At 40.7% G+C, this 13,357-nt stretch overlaps 1 pseudogene across 1 annotated transcript; it reads right to left on the reverse strand.

Moving 5' to 3' along the window:
• Positions 1–961: 961 nt before the first annotated feature.
• On the reverse strand, positions 962–9,702 carry GVINP1 (GTPase, very large interferon inducible pseudogene 1; annotated as a pseudogene). Its single transcript, NR_003945.1, has one exon. The product of NR_003945.1 is annotated as a GTPase, very large interferon inducible pseudogene 1 (transcript).
• Positions 9,703–13,357: the final 3,655 nt, after the last annotated feature.

Below are 13,357 nucleotides of genomic sequence, written 5' to 3' on the forward strand. Positions count from 1 at the left end.
TGGACATGTGACCCACGTGACCTTATCTATCATTGGAGATGACTCACACTCTTTACCCTGCCCCTTTTGCTTTGTATCCAATAAATAACTGCGCAGCCAGACATTCAGGGCCACTACCGGTCTCCGCGTCTTGGTGGTAGTGGTCCCCTGGGCCCAGCTGTCTTTTCTTTTACCTCTTTGTCTTGCGTCTTTATTTCTACGTTCTCTTGTCTCTGCACATGGGGAGAAACCCACCAACCCTGTGGGGCTGGCCCCTACACAGTTTTTAAGGTTACAGTGATGTGAGAGACAGGCACCATGTGGGGCAGGGGTTCTGCTTCTATCATATTTCCATTTTGTTGTTTTAGGAGATCCTTCCAACTCTCACTAACATTATTTTCCAGAGAACAAAAGAAAAACTATACTCTCCAAGAACATGTTTCCTTTGTAATTTTTCTGTCCTCAAACTTTTTCTGGAGAGATGAGTCATTTGACCTGACATTGAGAATAGGCTTGAAGCCCTTTGAGAGGACAAAGGAGATAGAGTCAGCATTCCTATCTCCATGCTCTGAAGATCCAAGTCACTTGGTTACTGCTCCCTGGGCTGTCTATTTTCACTGTTTATGGAAGATAGAGTACACCTGTAAATGGAAGCCAACGGGTGCATTTATGTCCAACATGAATAAATTGTCTTCTTTGCACCAGGATTCCTTTAGATCATCAGCTTTGAGAACCTAGCATAAGGTGTAGGTTTGCAGAAGGGTGATTTCCTTCCCTTCTCAGGCCCTGGTTGGATTCAGAGTGTTCTTCATTTTTATTCTAATTATGAATTTATGGCTCAAATGGTGTGAACAGTCACATATATGCCCGATTTGGAGGAAAGCATTCATTACACTTTTATGTATAAAAATAAATTCCTTATTGAAATATTAGAACCCAGTTAAGTGTATTAGGAGATTTGTAAAAACTGTATACTTTTTTTTTTTTTTTTTTTTCAACACGGAGTCTCGCTCTGTCACCCAGGCTGGAGTGCAGTGGCTTGTTCTCAGCTCACTGCAAACTCTGCCTCCCAGGTTCAAGCCATTCTCCTGCTTCAGGCTCCCAAGTAGCTGGGATTACAGGTGCCTGCCACCATGCTTGGCTAAGTTTTGTATTTTTAGTAGAGATGGAGTTTCATCATGTTGGCCAGGCTGGTCCCAAACTCCTGACATCAGGTGATCTGCCTGCCCTGTCTCCCAGGGGGCTGGGATTACAGGCATGAGCCACCATGCCCGGCCTTAAAACTGTATACTTTTTGATATTTTTCTTTAAGTAATCAGTTTAAAATAATCAATGAATCATTTTAAAATAACCAATCTAATTGAACCTTGTCCACAGACTTCATTAAAATGGTACATTTTATTTGGTCATCATAAATTTTTTTCCAAAAGCCAATTCTCAGACTTGTACATAACACCAAGCTTTGAATAACAAAGCTTTGTGACTGTTTTTTTTTTTTTCTTAGCATGCGCAGGGAATTGCCAACATACCAGGGAAGAACAGGGTGAAAGTTAATGAGAAAAACAGTTATTTGATTTCTACTTTCCATATTTGCTTGATAATGTTTCCTGAATTGATGACATCCCTATCTTGGTCAAGTCTCTGCTTTATTCTTTCCTAGAACAGAATATGCCTAAATATTGCTATGCTTGGGACTCATGAATGTTTTTACATTTAAAGATTAATAACTTTTCCTTAAAACTTTAGAGGGTGAAAAAAATCCACTTAAACATTGAAAAGTCTGGCTGGGCTCAGTGGCTCATGCCTGTAATCCCAGCACTTTGGGAGGCCGAGATGGGTGGATCACTTGAGGTCAGGACCAGCCTGGCCAACACAGTGAAACCCTGTCTCTACTAAGAATACAAAAAAAAATAGGAGTGATGGTGTGTGCCTGTAGTTCCAGCTACTCAGGAGGCTGAGGCAGGAGAATCACTTGAACCCGGGAGGTGGACGTTGCAGTGAGCCAGTTTATAGCTTTCAGTCAAGACATGTATATTGGTTGAAATACTGATACAGTTATTCTATAGAAATTTGTTGCAGCCTGAAATGATTTTGATTTTTCTCTGTTAAAATGACTTTCTCTGATACTTAAATATTTTAAAATAAAAAAGCAATATCTAGAATAATAGTTTAAAATACAAAATAGGTTTCTAAAATGAATGTTATTTGATTTCATCATATATTAACAGATTTTAGTAAGTTGTTTTTAAACTAGAGGAATTGAGGCAGAGAGAAATGAAGTCCTTTTACTGGAAATTTTCATCTCTTAATGTGTTAATTGATTGATTTTTACACATTTCATTTTAAACATGGAAATGATGAAGGTTCTAATTGTAATGAGTAGTTGTTTTTGGATTGTTCAGGTACACTGCCTCTTTTCTTCAGACACTGGGGCTCTTTTGTGGTCACTGAGTATTACTGTTTTTTCAAGTCTTCAAGCACATCTTGCTTTGTGATTTTGGCCCATGCATTGGGGATTTTACCTTTACCTGCAAATTTTTTCTGATATTTTTCTTCTAGATTTGATCTGAAGTGAGAGACAAACCATTTCCAGTATAGCTGGATGGAGGTATCTGGGGTGATGCTCCACATGGCATAATCCCCTCCTGCTTGTCGATAGTTCTTAAATGGGAAATTCCTGCCATCCCTCAAAACCAACAAACAATCACTTGCAACCAAACTAGTACAGCAATCAATGACAAAATCATCTGTTTCATACCATTCCTCCCCATTGACAGCCTGAGGACGGTGGAAGGGAACACTATGGTCTCCTTCATGTGTAGGAATTGTGTTTGTACAAATTGCTCCACAGCTGGGACACTGTTTCCAGCAGCCACAGAGATGTTCAGAGAGCATTTTCTCAATTTTAGAAACCATTGCTTCTATAGGCTTACTTGAATAATTCTGTTCTATTTTCTTCATTGTGAGATCCAAAGCTGCACTCATGGCTTCTTTAAGAAATTCAGTATGTTTTATCTCCTGGTGTTCAATGCTTATCAAGTCCCTTCGTGGAAAGATCAAGTTGCACCCCAGGCAATCACAGAATAAATCCAACCACTCAGAAGCAGTGCTGCTTTTATCTTTAGCTACTGATGTGGATTCATGGATGGCAGAGAGGATGGTATTCTTGATATCAATTAAGCTTTTTTCAAAAAAAGTCTTCATTTTTTCACCTCCATTGTCTGAACAATATCTTTTAATATGATTTTTGATGTAACTCCTAAAAAACGATTTTGAATTATGAAGGTATTCCCAGTAATTATCAAAGTTTTCTTCTTCTGCCAGAGAGAAGAGAATGTGTTTCTCCAGGTTAGTCCTGTTTCCATTGAACGCAGGGCAGGTAGCTCGCATGTCCCCCGCAATTTTAAAGGTCATGTCCTCCCATATAGTAGTGGAGACTGCAGGAGTGAGCTTATACCACAGAACATCAACAAATGTTTTGATGGAGGTTGCTCCTTGACAGGAGATCTTAAAACTCGTGAAGAAATCATCTTTCTTACTTTCTAGGTAGTTTACAGGATCATTTGCTCTCTTGAATGCCCTGTGCATTTCCTTAAAATTCTCTCTTGCTCTTTGAAATAAACACACACATAAGTCAATGATAAATGTATTTGTAAATGTGTATCTCTTCTGAGTAGAGGCAGATTTCACTTCTTCTTCTATTGTCTTTAGAATCTCATGGAAATAATTTGGATTGTAACCACACTGTTGTTTCCACATGTTGTTAATAATTTTATTAAATCTTGAAACAATGTAGTCAGTAGTCATATTAATGAACTCTTTCTCAAAGACTGTTAATGTCATTGGGATATGGTTATATTTCTTATTCACCTTGATATGTTTATCATAATTGATTTGAAACTTCTCTGCAGAATTTGTCAGTAGACCCACGACATTCGTCTTGTTTTTGAAATACTCCCAAAGGATGTTTTCAGAATCCAAATCAATGTCAGGCTCTGTAACTTGCGGGAGAGTTGTGGATACATCACACACCCACTTTTTCCAAAGTTGATTGAATTTCTCATGTAACTCTTCCTCACTCAATTCTTTGCCCTTTACAGTTAAAGCCAACTTCCGGCTTTTTTCCAATAATTCTTTTTCATAATCTGTCTTTTTCTTATTCAGCCTTTCTTGACTTTGGTTTTTAAAACTAATGAGTTCATTGGCTTGTCTTTTGCTATCTGAAATAAGTTTTTCTTTAAGGACTATTAGCTTATTTTCAAAGTTTGCTTTACATTGAATCAGTATTTTGCTACATGGGCCTTCATTAAAATATTTTTCAAGTTCTTGCTTGACAACTTCATATTTTTCTGTAACTAGAACCTCAAATGTGCTTGCTTCAAGTGTCTGGATTTTTCCATTCTGAATCTGGTTGATCAGCTGGTTCTGCAAGCCCAGCACGTGACTCCTCAGCTCCCAGGTCCAGTGGTTATACATGGTTTCCAGTTTGTTCATGGCCATGACTTCTTGGGTGTTCCTGAAACTGAAAATAAAGTTCTCGTTCATCAGGCCTCTCCACAAATCTTGAACTCGGGATTTTACATCTGATATCTTCATGATGTTTCCCCTGGATTCCTGTGTGGCAGTCATAAGAATTCTACTTTTCAGTTGCTGTACATTGTGGCTGTAGCGAGGATTGGGAGGGGCCATTGGGGGGTTGCCATCCCAGAGGTGAGCAAAGTAGTAGACGTGAGTATTGACATCAAACCTAATGACATCACTGAAGCAGGTTACGTCTAAGCACTGTTCTTGTTCAGCAGCTATTGCTGCCATTTCATCTAGTTTCTGCTCTAGCCGTCTTCGTCCATCCATAGTTTGGTCCGTAGCTGTAGCTTCCCCCACATTCTGATGGACAAAGAGGCAACTTGGAAAGATTTTTACTTGTTTCATTCTCAGAAAGGCTTGGACAACTATTTGTAGGATATCTTGCATCTCTGATGGATTCTCCCCAAAAATATTGATCAGAGTCAAGTTTGCAAGTCCAATGACAAAAGTTACCAACTCATTGTCCCTATCCTTGGATTTGTTGCTGTGTTCTGGTGCCCGAAGTCCTTCTGTGTCCACAGCAAGCACAAAGTCAAAGCCAAGTTCCTCCGTGAATGTCTCCTCCACCTTGAGGAGCTGCATATAGGCCCCTTGGGTACATTTGCCTGCACTAACAGTGAACTGAAGCCCAAAAAGGGCATTCAGCACGGTGGATTTCCCTGAGCTCTGCAAGCCAAGGATAGAAAGAACAAATAGCCGTTTGTCTCCAAGTTTCTCAGAGACCTTGTCAAAAACAGCTGCCACCCATGTTAGAGGTACATATGCTGCATCCCCATCCATCAGCTCAATGGGAACACCAGATATCATCAGGTCTGCGGCAATTTGGGGAAGCGAGAAAAAAATCTTTTTTATGGAGGAAGCTTCTTCCAGAGCTTCATAAATCTGACCAACTTCTCTGATAAGTTGCTCAATTCCCAAAGTACAGTCACTAATCTCTGTGGAAATGGCTTCTATCTCACTTTGCAGGCATATCAGGGAGTGACTATTAGGTGCCTTTTGCTTTACTGTTTGAACCAGTGACCACCAATATTTTTGCTTCTCATGCAGTTCTTCCAAGTGTCCTGCAGTCAGTTTGTCCAAAAATACACTCAGCCACTGCAAGAAGTACAGTTTGGTGTGAATTTCTGAATGCTCTTGGAGAAACTGAAGGACAGATTGCATTAAATCATTGAGAGGAAGGGCTCTGGCCAACTGTTCATGCCGTATTATTTGTTTATCTGTCTCAATCTCACTCTTGTGTTGTTCAATGCTCTGATTTCCCTTTTCTCTAAGATGATAGAGTTCTTTGTCCTTCTTACACCAGTGGTGCCACAGTTGTCCCTGAAGGGGTAGTAATTTTTCCTTAATCTGAGATAATTTCATTTTCCCCAGGAAGGCCATTAGAGCCTGTGCCTTTTCTTTGGCTTCCTTGCAGTCTCTCTGGTCTTCATCGATAAGAAATCCTTGCTGGTGAGCAATCTGGGAACAGTCCTCCAAGCTGAGAGCAGTATCTGAGAGTTCTAGCAAATGTCTGATTGTAGTTGTGAGTTCCTCTGTTAATTCTGCCTCATTTCTATTCTTGATACCCATTCTCATTCTTTGGCCAGAAATATTGGTCATGGTTGCTTCTTTGTCATCGAGCAAGCAGATCAATGGCCTTGATGACTGCCACAAGTTACGGACAATTTTTCGGTTTCCTTCATTGTCATCGGAGGCTGACATGAGGACCACAATGACAGTAGACACCTCCTTCAGGAAGCTGAGCTGCTGCTCATGTTCTTTTGCATCTCCATGAAGATTGGTGAAGGTCACACAGTTGTCAAATCTGTCCTCATCTTCCCCTCCTGGACAGAACCAACAGATCTCTACCATGCCCCCCATCAAGAGGCAGTCTTTCCTGCTTCCTGTGCAGTGTCGGTGAAAAAACACATCATGTTTCCGTTTACTGAGAAGACAGTTCATAATCTGAGATTTAGAAGCAGAGAGGCCATTTCCAACTCTTACGAAGGACACAATTGAGGTAGAGACACAGCACATCTGCTGATTCTTATAATAGTTCTTCCCTTTTGGTGATTTCCTTGCTTCCTGCCAACTTCTTGTAATTTGACGGAGAGACCAGAGAGAGAATTCAATCTGAGAAGTACAGGGATTAGGCACCAAAAGGGGGAGGGCAAACTGACAAGTGGAAAGTTTGGCCAAAATATATTGTCTGGCAAAATTATCTGCACAGTGAAAAATTGTCATCTGAATATCCACTGGGTGAATGTGGGGGCTAGGCTCAGTGGATGAAGATTTAGTGGGACTATCACTGTCTTCAAAAAAGTTTTCATATGGGTCAAAAGCCTCATCTTCCTGATCTGAAGCATTTGGATGTACTTGGTGTTCTGTGTTTCTATCATCTTTGAAGACTAGGTATCTCAGCTCATAATCCATCATCAGTAGTTTCTGCAGGAAATAGAAGGGAAGCTCCTGTTCAGAGCTGGGCTGGGTGTTATACACAGACGTCTTATAGATGAGATGGAAATTAGCTTTGCTCAATTTTTTGGGGTAGTAATGTTCTAGACCTAGATGCTGGAGTAAGTCTAGGAAGGCTCCATTTTTTATCATCTCCCATTTGTTATTTTCATTGTCATGTGGTTCATGGGGCTGTTTCTTTCCATAGAAGAGACTTTGCTTGCTCACCTCTTCCATTTGCAAAGAAGAGATGGTGACTTCTTCATAATCCCCATTAATGAGCAATCTCAAGTCTTTCTCTAGGTTTTCCCAATCGTGATCTGCTCCAGGTTTGGTGAGGACATGTGCAACTTCTTTGGACAATGATTGTCCCATGTGATGTCTCATTAATGACATGCGTTGTGTTTTCTCTTCTGAAGAAATAGCTGTGTCTCCAACTGTGGCTGTCAGACCTGTGAGAACCAGGAATGCCTGAGCCCTATAGCTGCAAATATTCTTAAGCTCCTGGTATTTATTTTGGGCGGTTTGCATTTCATCCAGTAGGAAGCTTAACTCATCACACCCCAAGAGACTCTGAAAAGTATTGTTGATCACATGATATCCTGCAGCAGCTGCAATGGAAAGTAGCAAGAGTTGTGTGTCTGTCTGCTCTGTTTTTTGGAGATAATTCAAGAAGCAGCTGAGAGCCAAGCTGACCTCATAAGTGGACTTTCTTTGAGCTTCCTCCACTGTTTCTGGGGACTCAGATTTGACCTTTACTTCCATGAGGTTATTCTGGGTTTCTTTTAAGATCTCAATTAATTGAGAAAATTGGGAAATATTCACCTGCTCCTGCTCTGAATCTGACTGGAAGATCCACTGCATGATGAAGTGAGCCTGAGGAAAGTTTGTCACTCTGTAGATGTGAGGATCCAGAAGGCTGCGCAAATGAGATTTAATACATTTAGTTTTATAAATGGAAGACTTTTTGCAAAAGTTGATGGTGTTTACTAGAAAATTCTGCAGACTCTAATCTGTGAGACATATATTAATCCAAGTGTCATAACTTTTTAGTTTTTGACTCAACATTTTCATGAAATTTATCAGTTTTTTAAGTTGCTCTTCAGGATCAGATACCTCCCAAGATTTTACATCCTCTAGAAAAACCCTGGCCTCCTTCCCAGCACTCAGTAACTCTTCCCCATTCTGGATCTGGGCAGTGATGCTAGTCAGAGCAGTGTAGCTGTCTTTCAGGAAGTTAGCCACCTGAAGAGGATCCTTAAAATTGCTTCTGTGGCTAGAGAGGATAATGTCCCAAACTGGCACCAACTGAAGCCCGCGGTCAATGACACACCAGGTTTGATTGCTGGCAATGAGGCCAGCTTTCCACTGGACAAGGCCATCTGCTTCTGGTGGGCCACCTGTTTGGGCCACAGATAATTGGACCTTGGTTTGGAGGTTTTGGGAAGTTTTGGTCTGAGTGGCTGTCTTCGAATGAGAGTCTGAAACATTCACACCTGCAGCAACTTTCACTCCAAAGCCACTGTAGCTGTCCCTTATGAAAATGTCCAGGGCCTCTGCAGACTGCTGCCTCACTTCTGCCAACTGCTCCGTGCAATAACCCTCTGAAATGGCTTTCCACCAGTAGATTCCTCCCAGGTGCAGAGGGCCTTGGTTAACATGAGAGCCAAACCTGTGGAAGAAGTTTATGATCCTGTGCCTCAGCAAGGAGAACCTGTCTGGGTTTGTTGTCTGACTCAGAAGCTCTTCAATGCATTTCAATTCCTGGACAGCAGGCTTGGATAACTGGAGCTGATCAATGGGAAAGTGGCAGGAGGCCAGGGGGATATAGCTGAACTTGGTTGAGCAGAAATAAGAATTCTCAGAACTTGATTGTTGGGTTTCCTTGGATTCTGGATGTTTGCTGTGATCCAAACCAGCTTCTAGACTAAACCCCCAATTTCCGTCCTTGGCTGAAGTAGTTAAACGAAAGCCCAGCTTCTCTACCATCTGGGTAAACATGAATTCAGCCTGAGGAGATGTGAATTCCTTTGTTTTCATTTGTGTTCCTTGCTGAGGACCCAAAAGTAAGAACTCTTTGGGGACACTGAGCAACTCCTCTCTCTTCTCTGTCAGGCCCCTTTGGTGGCTGGCTTTGTAAATTCCCTGGAGGGCCAGCCCTCCAGATGCCCATCTCACCACATCTCTATCTGGAAGGTTTTGCCTGTGGCACAGTGTCCACTTCATGAGGTTGAGTTGTCTCTGCAGGTTTTCCATGAGTTCCCTTAGAGGCTCTTCAGGGGATGGCCAGTACTCTTCAGGGATGTCCATTGCTTGCCTCAGCTCTGCTTCTCTTGTCCTCACTGCCTCTTCCTGTCTCTGCTTCCCTTCTGTCAGCAAGTCCCTCAGCTCCTGCAGTGCCTGTTCTGCCTGCTTCTGCTTTCTCTTTGCCCTCTCCACCTGAGACTCCTGTAACGCTGAAAGACTTTTTGAGTGTGACAGATTAAGCAGCTTTCTCCCATGGATGTTGTGTCTGGGATTTCAGCTTCTTGAGGTTGTTTTTGTCTAGGTGTTGTAAGGCCTGGGCACAGGTCACACCCAGGTGTTCCTGCAGCTTGGGTAACCAGTACTCAACATCCAGGCCCACTTCTCTCAGCATCTCTTGGAGGTCTTGCCTCCTTTTGCCTCTGAGCAGAGGGTCATCAGGGGTGTGCTCTCCTGTGGCCATGGCTGCATAAAAAACAGACACTCAGTTAGCTGACTGTTCTGACCTTAGGAAGTGTCAGCCACATGGCCAAAAGTGTAAGTATACTAGTATGCAAGTCTACAAGGCTTTCTCATTCCTCATTTAATTGTTTTAACAAAAATTTTTTAACACCCTTTTTTGTGTGCAAGCCATCATTGTGGATATTTTCAATGTGGATTGCCTTTGTGGTTTGCAGGGTGGGTTGCAACTTACTAGACTTATTTTGACAATTCCTTTTACATAGAATCAATTGCATGTAAAACATTAAGATGAGAGACGGAGTTTGAAAATATGCTTGAGTTTGAGTTTGGTAGCTTGATTTTTTTTTTTTTTTTTTAAAGAGTGATGGAACCAACAGATTATCTAGTTTCTGTGAAATCTGTGTTGCCTGGTTTCCTTCCTGTCTCTGTGTCACTTCTTCCTAGGGCATTTCATGATATTTATTTGCTTTCCTGCCCTTTTAAATGTGCTACTAACCTGGTTTATGCTTGTCACTCCCTTCTTACTCTTAATTTTCCCTAGTTAATATCATCTTTCTGTTACATTAATAGCTGTCTCTCTGTTGATGCCACCTTCATCTGTGTCTGTAGACTCAAATGCTCCCCTGTATTTAATGTTTTATTAATGTTATGTTTTTCCCCTCACTACCTTCAGTATATATCCTTGACCAGCAGATGAGATGAGATTTTACATGTTTCAATTTCATACGTTATTCAATTTCCCTTCCTCCTGTAATTCTTGTCCTGCTGAATGGCACCACCTTACTTCCAGGCCAATGGGCGTCTTGTTCATCCTTCTTCTTAACATGAATTTAGTACATAATATCTTTTCCATTTGTCCTCTTAAACCTCTATTTAATTTCACTTCTTTTTGACACTCTATCCGTTCTCCCTTAGATGTTGCCTTCATCATGTCTATCGGATTGCTATAATAGTCATTCTATCTTCTATGGTTTGAAGGTTTGTCCTCTCCAAAGCTTATGTTGAAATTTAATTGCCATCTTAATAGTATTAAGAGGCAGGAGAGATGATTAGTATTGAGAGGTGATTAGGCCATGAGGGCTATGCCATCATGGGTGGGGTTAATGCTGTTATGAAAGGTTGAATTTTGTCCCCTTTTGCCTCTTGTGCTTCTGCCATGTGATGACAAAGCAAGAAGGTCCTTGCAAGATGCTGACACCTTGACCTTGGACTTCCCAGCCTCCAGAGCTTTGAGCCATAAATTTGTTTATTGTTAGTTACCATGTCTCAAGTGCTCTGCTATAGCAACACAAAACAGAGTAAAACACCATCTTGCAGTCATTTTTGTCTTGCGCATTTCTTCTTCCTCAATGTCTCTACAATTTAAATCTGCATGTTAATTAATGGTAAACTCAGCAGCTCAAACCAATCTTTCCAATGAAAGCCATTTGAAATAAGTAGAGAAATGTATAAGACAATTTTTTAAAGCCTTAAGTAATTTACCTGGTAAAAATATCTGACAGAAGAGGTAAATAATCTGAAGCAATAATGAATGAAAAAATTCCATTATAAATTAAAGACAAAGTTTAAGACCTTTGCAAACACTAAGTAAAAAAATTAAAGTAAAATAAAATAACTTTACAATCAGATGCATCAGAATAAAACTGCAGAAACAACAAGAACAACAACAAAACAACAAATACATGTAGAAAGTACAAATACAAGTAGAAAAAGAGTTTACCTTTAAAAACCTAACAGAGAGCTGATTTCTGAACAGCTATAGTGGAAGCCAAAAGAGAGTAGAATGGAGTATTTATTTCACTGAAAGAAAATATCAGACACAAATTTTATGTATAGTGAGATATTCTTAAAGAATGATCGTGGAAAAGGGACATTTACAACAAAAATTAAAGACTTACAGTTGCAAGATTATGGCATAGGGGCAAGCTGGCTTTACTGTCCCCACTCAGAAAACCAAAAACAAATATATAGCACTGAAATTTTTACCATCAATAACCCAGAGCTCAAGTATGAGGATGAGGCAGTTCCCAGGACCACACAGAAGTGGGAAAACTCTGAGCAGATGGTAAGAGAATCAAATTTCCACATCTGTAATGACCCTACACATTATTCTCTTTGGTACTAAGAACATAGAAAATCTCCCCTGACACCCAACTCAAAGTTTCTACACTGGAACAGGTGAAATTGAGGTGGTCAGTCAGCTTTCCCACTTTCTTGAGTCCCCTGTAAGTTGACCTGTCTTTGCCTTAACCCACAGGAAGCATCATGACTACCTAAAGGGATAAATATCCCTGAGGACAAGCAAAGACAAAGGGAGGAAGTGAGAATATCATCCACATCCTAGGGAATTCTGCTCTGTAACTTGGCCAAAGGAGATGCCAAATCAGAGTGGCTGTTTAGCAGCAGCACATTGTAGGAGGTATGTTCCATAGGTGCCCTGGGCATGAACCATTAGCCAGCCTTCCCACATTGCTGAGATAATCCTTTTGAGACCTCCCCCATTCAGGACAGGCAACGCTATAATCATTTACCAGAGCCGAGGTGAACTTAGGCTTAAGGCACCACCTAGACTGAAAAAGGAGGCAGCAATCTAGTGGTAAATATTCACTAAATAAATATACTAAATAAAAACCAGAACAAGCCAAAGAAAGAAAACTGGAATAAATAACTTCTCCTTCAATGCAAAGGCATTGGCACATGCCCACAAGAAACAACAACAATCAGGGAGCCATTACCTCCACAGAAAGACTAAGCAAAAATCCAGTGACTGACTCTAATGAGATAGTGATCTGTGAATTCTCTGCCCAAGAGAAACTCAATTATCTCAAAGGTAAAGCAGTTCAGAAGCATGTCAGAAAGTGTAACAAAGAGATTGAAACAATAATTAAAAAAAATTAAACAAAAATATTGGAACTGAGACATACGTTTGCTGAAACAAAGAACCCTTTAGAGGCTCTCAACACCAGAATGAACTAAGCAGATGAAGGAATCAGTGAGCTCAAAGACTGGCTATTTGAAAGTAGATAGTCTGATGAGAAAAAATAATGAAAAGGAACAAAGACTGCCTGCAAGATATAGAAAATTACCTCAAGGGACCAAAGGTAAAAATTGTTGCTGTTCAAGAGGGAGCTGAGCAAGAGTAAGAGAGTAAGTGGTAGAAGGCTTATTTAAAAAAAAACCCAAAAAACAAAAACAGGATGGGCATGGTGGCCCACACCTGGTAATCCCAGCAATTTGGGAGGCTGAGGTGGGTAGATTGCTTGAGCTCAGGAGTTTTAAGCCAGCCTGAGCAGCATGGCCAGGCCCTGTTTCTACAGAAAAATTCAAAAATTAGCTGAGCGTGGTGGTATGTGCCTGTGGTCTCAGCTACTTGGGAAGCTGAGGTGGGAGGATCTCTTGAGCCTGGGAGATGGAGGTTGCAGTGAACATGATCATGCCACTGTACTGTAGTCTGGGTGACAGAGTGAGACCCTGCCTCAAAATAAATAAATAAATATATAAAGATATATATAAATATAAATATATATATAAATATAAAGGAAAACTTTCTGAAACTTGAGAAAGATATACATATCCTGGTACAGAAAGGTCTGAGAACATCAAACATTCAATCCATATGAGACTACTCCAAGGCATACGACTTTGAAAAGGTCAA

The sequence above is a fragment of the Homo sapiens genome, chromosome 11, assembly GCF_000001405.40.
Source record: "Homo sapiens chromosome 11, GRCh38.p14 Primary Assembly".
Taxonomy (NCBI): Eukaryota; Metazoa; Chordata; class Mammalia; order Primates; family Hominidae; genus Homo; species Homo sapiens.